This window comes from Homo sapiens, chromosome 8, assembly GCF_000001405.40.
Source record: "Homo sapiens chromosome 8, GRCh38.p14 Primary Assembly".
NCBI classification, from domain to species: Eukaryota; Metazoa; Chordata; class Mammalia; order Primates; family Hominidae; genus Homo; species Homo sapiens.
This window is the reverse complement of record NC_000008.11, coordinates 21,487,048-21,496,607: the sequence shown is the minus strand read 5'-3', so window position 1 is coordinate 21,496,607 and position 9,560 is coordinate 21,487,048. Positions and strand designations below refer to the sequence as shown.

The 9,560-nt window shown below is 45.1% G+C and overlaps 3 annotated features.

Annotated features, from left to right (window-relative positions):
• Positions 3,425-4,624: an enhancer, noted in NCBI's record as "BRD4-independent group 4 enhancer chr8:21349495-21350694 (GRCh37/hg19 assembly coordinates)". NCBI's record gives its function as "activates an origin of replication core promoter dependent on BRD2, P300/CBP, MED14 and CDK7 cofactors, and independent of BRD4, by STARR-seq in HCT116 cells {active_cell/tissue: HCT116}" and the evidence as "EXISTENCE:reporter gene assay evidence [ECO:0000049][PMID:35650434]".
• Positions 4,236-4,530: an enhancer, noted in NCBI's record as "tiled region #10609; HepG2 Activating DNase matched - State 5:Enh". NCBI's record gives its function as "activates a minimal TATA promoter and a strong SV40 promoter by Sharpr-MPRA in HepG2 cells {active_cell/tissue: HepG2}" and the evidence as "EXISTENCE:reporter gene assay evidence [ECO:0000049][PMID:27701403]".
• Positions 4,236-4,530: a silencer, noted in NCBI's record as "tiled region #10609; K562 Repressive non-DNase unmatched - State 22:ReprW". NCBI's record gives its function as "weakly represses a minimal TATA promoter and a strong SV40 promoter by Sharpr-MPRA in K562 cells {active_cell/tissue: K562}" and the evidence as "EXISTENCE:reporter gene assay evidence [ECO:0000049][PMID:27701403]".

The window sequence follows — 9,560 nt, the reverse complement described above, 5'->3', positions numbered from 1 at the left end:
TATGAGGGTTAAATGAGATGCTGCGGGTCAAAGTGCTTTTAAATTATAAATTCAGAAAAAAAAACAGGATCATTACAGAAGATGATGGAATCAGCTTTAATGTTAGGATGATGATGATTATTATTAAGGAGCATAAAACTGATCATTGGCATTAGCTCTGGACAGCATTATGAAGTCAAGTTCGTGGCTGACCGCCTGCACACTTCCCTTTCCACAGCATCTCTCTCCTTAAATCTTACCTGCCCTTGTTAAATCTGGCTCTGTGGTTGACCTGCTGATGTGAGTTTGTGTGGTTCTGGCTGTATAAAATGGAGCTGCTGATTTGAACAGCCCTGTTATTAGGGTCAGAGAAGGGCTCTGGTTAGAAAACAGGAGGAAGCAGCTCCTTCCTGTAATCAGAAGACACAGCTTTTGGCAGGGGCTACAGAGAGGCAGAGGCACATGGAAGATGCCCTGCTTGCCCTTGAAGAGAACTTTCTTAGAATTCCTGCCCCTGAGAATCATTCTGGATCCTGGGAGGATAGGCTGTCTTGCCTCAGAGAGGCTGAGGTCTTGCCTCAAGAAGCAGGTTCCTTCCAAACCAAGTTAGGAAGCCTGGAGCCCTGGAAGTATAGCAGGAAATAAAGATAGCAAGGGCTGGGCGCGGTGGCTGATGCCTGTAATTCCAGCACTTTGGGAGGCCGAGGCGGGCGGATCATGAGGTCAAGAGATCAAAACCATCCTGGCCAACATGGTGAAACCCCGTCTCTACTAAAAGTACAAAAGTTAGATGGGCACATGCCTATAGTCCCAGGTACTCGGGAGGCTGAGGCAGGAGGACCGCTTGAACCCTGGAGGAGGAGGTTGCAGTGAGCCAAGGTTGTGCCGTTGTACTCCAGCTTGGCAACAGAGCGAGACTCCATCAGAAAAAAAAAAAAAAAAAAAAAAAAAGCAGCAAGGGCCAGCCATCATAGTAGCACAGGAGCTCTTAGTGGTAGATAGCCACTGGAGGGTGTGACAAACAAAGAGAGAAAAGTGCTGTTGTAAAAAACCCAAAAACATCTAAAAGGCAGCCCTTGGCCCAAATGTCTCCTCCACCGGCCTACTCCAGAGTCTGAATTTCCATCACTAGGAGTCCTCGTGGGTGCTAGAATTTCCCTGCTAAAATGAAAATATCCCTGGAAGTGGGTGTTTGGGTGGGTCAGGTCTTAACTCTCTCTCAATCAATAATATTTGGAGATAGATTTATTTACTGGCTCAAGAGCCTTGGGAACCTTACAACTAGGTTGCAAGCCCCACAGTACCTATCCTAGTGCAGTCTCCAGAGCAGGTCCCTGGTAAATGTTTGTGGGGTCATACGTGGATTAAAGGAGATACAGACCTACTGTGCTATGAGGAAGAGGAAAGACCTATATGCTATGAGGGATGGTATCAGTGTAGGGAGTGCTACTTGGGGCCTCTAAGATTTGGGAAAAGAGAGATTCAAGAAGCTACAAAGAGAGGGCAGTGTGGCATAAAGGATTTGAAGACAGAATGATTTGGGTTTGTGTTCTAATTCTGCCACTTACTATCTGATCACATGGAGGTCATGCAACCTCTCTGAGCCTTGGTTTTGTCAACTGTAAAATGGGGATACTGATATCTCATAGGACTGCTGTGAAAAATATGTAGATGAGATGGCAGGTAATTTCTTTATCAACGGTGAAAAGACAGACTTACTATTATTATTATATAGGGCAGAACATGCTCAGTACTATTACAAGTAGTATTTGCCTTGAAGGGACACACGACACCATTGACTAGCTCTTGTGTCTGGGAGGAGTGTAGACATGTCTCACGGGAAATGTTAGTATACTGTAGTAGCGCACCGCACAATGCGGAATCTGTTTCACCTTAGAGTTCAAGAAGTGGGTTCCTGCCAAACCAAGTTAAAAATTCCCTTATCATGTGGATGCTGAAGAGAGAAGGGAGCTGTTAGAAGCCCAGACAGAGATCTCTGGTTAAAGAGACAGAGAGTTACAGCATCAAATGGCCATTCCCATCTCAGTAAAGCAGGCAGCTGGCAAATTTGCAGGGAACACTGGGAAAAGCTAAGCCTGGGGAGAAAATCGGATGAAGATTGAGGACTAAGGGAAAGTACTGAGGTCAGTACCAAGCTGTTGGGTCACAGCCTCAAGGGCCCTGAGGAAAAAGGGGCCCACCTGACTCTGAGGACAGCTTTGCACAAGCAGAAGAGAATCTTGAGAGGGCAGGGATCTTCCCACTGGTGCCATTGCTCAAGGTTATTCTAGCCGCACAGGGTGGAGAAGCTGAGACAGATATCAGAATTTCTCTATGGCCATATAATTCTCTCTAGACCATTATATGCTATAAATGAAACTGGTTGTCCCTCCGACTTTGTATGAATTCTCTTTTGACCAATCTATTTGTCATTTTGATAAAATCCTAAGGAAAAGACCTGCATATACATACATACATACATGTGTATGTATGTGTGTATATATATATATATGTATTATGTGTACATGTATATGTGTGTGTGTGTGTATGTATATATACACACACACACACACACACACACACACATACACACACACATATATATAGTTCTATGTGAATCTTACCGGGTTGGAGGCTACTGACAATCAAAGTTAAGATTCTGGTTCCTCTGAAAAGGGCCAGGCCAGGTAAGGAGCTTCCAGTAAAGAATGTCATCATAAACAACTCAATTCTGTGTTGGGGAGCCACTTATCACATGATAATGGAAACACAAAGGGCTAGAAACACACAATGAAGGATATATTGGCTTCAATTGGGAAACTAAGGCAAGCTCCAGGGAGGATGTGGAGCTTGCAACGGGTCTTAATAAAAGGCTGGGATATTGACATAGGGGCTGAGCTCAGGTCAAGAGCATGGAGTGGATTCCAGGGAAGATCGAGTAGAAGGTGGTTTCAGTTTGGGGACAGGGACTTACGTGACATACAGGTAGGATCAGGGTGACAACAAAAGGGTAGAAAGAAAAAGTGGGAGGGCTTGGGGACATCTGCCTTGTTGATGATTCTACAGGGCATGAGCAGAGGCTGAGGTCTTACTTCAGAGAGTCACAGGACTTCTCAGCAGGGAAGGGTGGATGGATGGAGCCAGGTCTTTGTGGACGGAAATGCGAAGACTTCCTGACTCGGTCAGGATTCTTGGATAGGATACAGAGATGTCCCTTACCCCTCGACGAACTTACACATTCCCTCTGAGTTCATCTTCACAGGACTTTCCTGCTCTGCTAAACAAAACAAAACAAAACAAAACAAAACAACAACGACAACAACAAAAGCAGAGTTTGCCATTTTTCTGGATTTGCCAGAGGGAGCTCTTGAAACTGTCACTGCAGATTATTTTTATTGCTGCTAAGCAGGTTGAGGAGAGTTGAAGGCATCCTGAACAGTGCGTGTGGAAGAGCTCAGTGCTGGAGGTTTCAGAAGCTCAGGACTCTCATCCTTCAGATGTCACTCACTGCGGTGTGACTATTTTACCTCTCTGTGTCCTCACCTGGAAGGAGAGAAGATTGCACAGGGTGGTCAGAAGAGCCCTTCGAGTTCTGGAGTCTGAGTGTCTGTATCCTCTCTACCAGGTGATGAGGGTGACCATGACTGCCCTAAACTGCATGACAAAGGCTGACTGATCTGCCTTGTGTATACACAGACAGAGTTTTGCTCCTAGAGCTAGTCTAGCATGAAAACAAACAAACAAACAAGCAGCTTGTTTTTAAAAACCTAGATCGCTTGATTTAACTTGGCTCTGGGTCTGCAAGTTAATGTTTTAGGAAGGAAAAGCTCCCCAAACCCCAGGAAAAAAGAGCTGCTGCAAAGATGGAGAAACACCACGTAGAAAGAGCGAGGAGAGAAAGACTTCGTTGGTATCTTTAGTCTTTGAAAATTAGAGGTCATCCTGCCTTGTCAGTGTGACCTGTGGGTTCCTGCATTCTGGGCGAGTTGAGTCGAAAAGAGTATGAGTCAGCCCCTCTGCTTTGCATTTTCCCAATGAAAATTTCCCTCAAAGAAATTCTAGTAGCGGAAATGATTGCGTAATTGCCACCTTGATCTGTTGTTGCAATGTTTTCCAGCTGCTATAACTATTTATTTCCCCTTCAGTACCTGTTTACTTTCCAGGAGGAAAGGGTGAGCCATAAAAAGGGTGGCTGAAGAAAGGTCATTTCCAGGAGCGAGAGCAATGCAGATTGCAATGAGGTGGCCCCTTGGTGGTCCTGCGAAGGACGGACAGGGTACTCAATATTTGCCTGTGCTGGGTTGATGACTCCACTAATCAGCCCATCTCTCTGCCCCTGGTAAGGACTAGCCATGGACTTTGCTCCCTGCCCTTTTCCCCACAGCCAGGATTGTTAACTGTAATGACCATGTCAAATGTCCATGAAAAAAATCTCTCTTCCTGGCATCCCCCAGTGGTTGTGTGACAAGTCCAGGTTACCTTGAAAGGAATGCAGAGGAGGAAAATCTATCTATCTATCAAGATGTGAGTCACCCATGTGATGTCATCTGAATCTCAACCTGATCCCATTAATTTTGACTATGTAAGCACATAAAATACCCGAAGAAAATAAAACACATGCAGCTATGAAAGACACGCGTGCTGCCACGGACATACACACGGACACCCACGCACCGACACACTGACATACACGCATTCACTGGCCTAATCTGCCCAGGCAGCAGGCAAGAGGTCCTATTATGAGTGGAACAAGTGCATGTGGAGAGGGATGGCTTTTTTTGGCAACGTTAATGAGGGTGACCTTCAGGTAGGGATGCACAGGCTGCATAGAACGGAAGGAAACACGAGACCTTGGCATCCCTCTCACTCGAAGGCATGGCAGGGTTTACACAATTAGGCTTAATTATGTCCTGCTCTGCTTTCAGTGAGTGTGTTCCTTGCAGGTGGAGTCTGGCTTTCCCTCCCCATGCATTCCCCAGGCTCTTTTCCTGATGCTGGAAACCCGACTAGCCTCTAGCTATGGTTTTCAGAAGCCAGGCGCGGAGGCCACCATGACTGTTGAAGGCCTGCCTCTCTGGCATTACCTGGGTCCTCTCTCTACCTAGAGAAGGCGAGTTGCTGATCACTGCCCAGTGGGTTTTTATGGGGCGTCTTTTTGATTGTGAGCACAGGTCTGTCAACAGAAGCCACTGGGGCAGTGGGCACTGTGGTCGTAACAGCACAGGGCTGAAGCCAGGAGATGCGCATGAGTCCCAGTGCTTCTCTGATCCTCAGTTTCTTCCACTAATAATGACAATTAAAAAAGCTACCCAGCCTACAGAGCAGCCACATATGCTGTACAGGCTGGGCACTGCGCAACTCAAGCATGTCTTGTGACTGATGGCAGGGGGCTGGAGCTGTGCAGAACAGTGGCCCGGCCTGCCTGCTTCCAAGTTGATGGGGTCACACAAGATCAGTGATTATTTACTGTCTGCTTCTCTTTGCTTCTGCTGATTTTCCTAGAATGTGACCTTTCACCTGCCTGGCTCAGGGTATATGCCCATCAGCTCCCTCTCTAGCGAAATCCTGCATCTCGCTCCTCCTGGTCAACCTTGCCTTCTTGATACCTGAGACCTGCAGTTTCCAAGCACAACAGAGAGGTGGAGAAATTTCCAGTATTTGTGGCTTTTCTGGAGCAACAGGGCTTATCTGGAAAATTCACACCTTAAGGAAGGACCTGAAGGAGGCAGCTTACTGCATGGAGAGGAGAACTGGATTCCAGGGTGGGAAGATCAAGCAGGTCACAGGACAAATAAGGACCCTGCACACATCTGCCCACTCAACGGATGGGTCGAGGGTTACGCTCCTAATGCCTGCCATTATCTGTGGTTAACCAGGCCTGGGACACAGAACAAATGAGATTCTGAACTCTCCTTTTAAGCAGGAGTTTTCACCTCCCCCTCAGTCACTCTTAGGCTTCTCCCTTTTCATCCTTCCCCCGCTATTAACACAAGTGGTGAACATCTGGGTTTGCCTTGGCTTGTGTGGAAGGGGCCAACCAGAGCAGGAAGCCACAGAACCCAGGCCAGGAAGAGTGAAGTGAGCTATTACCCTCGAGAGTGAGCCCAGAGGGGACACCTGGCTGCTTAGGAATTGGAAACGAGCACTGTAGGAAAAGGAAAAGATTCTGGGGACCTTCAGCCTTGAAGAGCTTCCTCACGGAGGAGAAACCACGCTTTTCCACCAAGCTGTGCAACAAAATTACCCCAGGGCTTTAGAAAAATATGGATTCCTAGAACCTATCCCCAGAAAATCTGATTCAACACATCTGGAGCAGAGCACTGGGAATGGATGTTTAAAAAAAATAAGCATGTAACTTTAGAATAATTTTAGATTTGCAAAAGCGTTGCCAAGACAATTTGTATTTTAGCCCTTTTTAAGTTGTGAAATATAAAGCACATATAGGTAAGTGCTCAGAACAAAGAATGGCTTGATGATTTATCACTAAGTGAACACCTGTGTCATGTCTACACATCCACAAAATAGGACACTGCCAGGGTCCAGGAGCTCCCCTCAGACCCTCTGTGTTCCTTCCCATCCAAAGTTTACCTCTGAAGCAGGCATTCCCAAACGCTGGCGTTTAATTTTTCATCCCTAAACATTTAATTTCATTTGATCTATTTTTGAACTTTATATAAATGTAGTCATAAAAAGTAGGCATTTTGGGAGGGTCTGGCTTCTTTCACTGAATGAGTTTCATTCATGTTACTCTGTATAGTCTGTTCTTTTTCACTGTTCCACCCTTACACAGTGCTAGCCAATACAGTAGTCACTAGCCACATGTGGCTATTTAAATTAAAATTAATTAAAATAAACAATTCAGTTTCTCTCTTGCACGAGCCGTATTTCAAGTGCTCAGTGGCCTCATGTGATGAATGGGTGCCATCTTGGACAGTGCAGAACGGAAAATTTCCATTATCATATGAAGTTCTTTTGGACAGCTCTGCTCTAGGATGTGCAATTTTATGAATATATCAAAATTTACCCATTTTACTGTTGACAGACATTGTGATTCCTTCCAGTTTTTGACTATTGTGACTGACACTGCTGAGAATGTTTTTGTACTGGCCTCTTGGTGCACACGTGCAAGTATTTATGTTGAGTGTATGCCTTGGAGTAAATTGTAGGGTCATAGGAGTGCATATGTTCAGCTTTAGCAGATAATGCCACACTGTTTTCTTAAGTGGCATACTAATTTGTACTTCCACAAGAATCTCTTTTCAAAAGCATCCCAGGTAATTTTGAAGATTCATCAAGTTTGGGATAATGGCTTGATTTTTTAAGGGATTTGATTTTATCTTTATATAAGAAGGAGGGTTCTAATGATCGGATTGTTTAGCAGTAGAATGGACCCTCATGAGAAATACCTCATCTGGTGGTGAGTGTCCTGTCTTTAGAGGTATTCAAGTTGATGCTGCACAACTTTCTGAAACAGCAGCTTTAAAAGGAACTCCTGGACTTAGTAGGAAGCCTTCCTAAGTGATGTATCAAATCCTTTCCAACTGTAAGAGTCTCTGATTTCATCCCTTTTCATGGCTACGTTTGGATGGATGCATGCTGGATAGTAAAATTCCTCATAGTTAGGCAGCAGAAGAGAGAAAGGGCTGATGCCAGAGGCCAAGATTAATCACAAATTGAATCCTTAGTCCCTGAATAATTGAGTTAGTTGTCCCAATGATCAATGAATCACCTCATGCTCACTCTCAACCTACTGTTTCTACTTGAGCTCTTGGGATAATGGGAATCATGACTTCTTCAATGTCACCCTTTGCAGACATTTATAGGTCCTCCTTATTTCTATTTTAATGGCTTTATTGGATATGTGCCTATTATTGTAATGGTCTCAAATCATTTCTGGAAACAGGTGTGGCATAAGTCATAATACTGTAAAAATGCCCTCCTCCACCATTGCCGGGCAGTATATCTTCATCTGTCTCCATGCTATCTCTCTCCACCTGTTCTTCTGGCCTCCTCCCTGCTGGAATTCCCTTCTACCTTGTGGGGTTTGGAAATGCAGGGATTATTCTAGGTCACAAGAGTAATAATCCTCCTGCCAAGGCACTCAAAAGGCTGCCCTTGAGGATAGAATGGCTTCCTTTTAACTCCCTTGAAGACTGAATGTTTCTTATAAGAATGCTGTTAGGGGATTTGGGAAAAGGTCTTAAATCTCACTGGGTATATTGGAGTGATGAGATTTCAAAGGGAAAATGAGAAGTGGGCAGATCTAATAACCCGAGCCTATGCTGGGCCCGTGCTCAGCAACTAGCTATGCTCCATGACAGAGCCTTCAGCAGAGTCCTGCTCTGGGTCTCCAGGGAGTTCACAGATGAACTTGTTGGTAATTTTCAGGTAAAAACCACCCAACCAGATCTCAAACAACCTGTGGGTGTAGCTACAACTGGGCCAACATAGAGGTGAGATTGTGGTGCTGCTGGTGGTGGCAGATCTTACTCCAGCTCTAGATTGGAAGTCAGGGTTGAGTTAGGCTTTGTCCATATAATTTTATGGATGGAAGGGTCCAATTGAGGCAGCAGAAATAACTCCAGAGAAATAGCACTGGGGCTTCCAAGGGAGGCCTGGAGCTCATCCTTAATGCCATTGGTTTTATCCTTAGAAGGATACAGAGAGAAGTTTGGAGAAGAAACTTGAGAAGTTGGCAAGATCAGACCTAGTACCCATGTAGTTTTCTCTCTGTGGTTTTAGCCTGTCACCCCACTTTTTTGGTCCTTGGTTTCCTTGAAACTTCAGAAACAAAGACAATCAAAGGAGTCTGTCTGAAGAACGACGTCAGTCCCAGGAGACATGCTCGGCTTAATTAGCTGGTACCCACAGGATGTTCTGAAAATGAGAAATGGCCAGGATTATTATCTATCAAATGTCAAATACAAATGCGCTCATGTTCCCATTATGGATGTGTGTGTTGCAAACTTGCTGAACCGAGTGTGACCCGTTGGGTGGTTTTAATTACAAATATCAATAAAATTGGTTGATATTTATGGGCACAGACCCTTCAGATCAGGGCGAAGGAAGCTAATTGCGTAAGACAGTGCCGTGATTGAACTCCAAGGGAGGCGTGGACTCCTGTTAGCTGGGTGCGAAGCTGAGACAGCTCCAGTCTCCCTGTGTTAATTAAATGTGATGAAATGAATATTAACTTGTAAAAAGAGTCAGAGACTTGGACTGGGTTTACTTGGTGGGTGGGGCTGAGGCTAGGGATGGGGGTTGTGGTTGATGAGACTCAAGGGCTATTGTCTTAGAGAGAAGCAAACATTAGCACAGAGTTTCCCAACCTTGGCTGCAAATAGAATCACCCAAGGGGCTTCTGTAGCTTACCAGTTCCTGCACTGCACTACCAGCAATTTGCCTGGGGTGGGACTTTCCCACGTTATTCTAATAACCAGCCAGGACTGAGAATCATTGATGTAGTGAAAACAATTCATGTTTTGGAGTCAGACAAATGAGACTTTGAACTAGCTGCGTGTCCTTGAGCTTCAGAGATTTTTTTTTTTTGTCTGTAAAAATGAGGTTAATCAAAGCTGCAT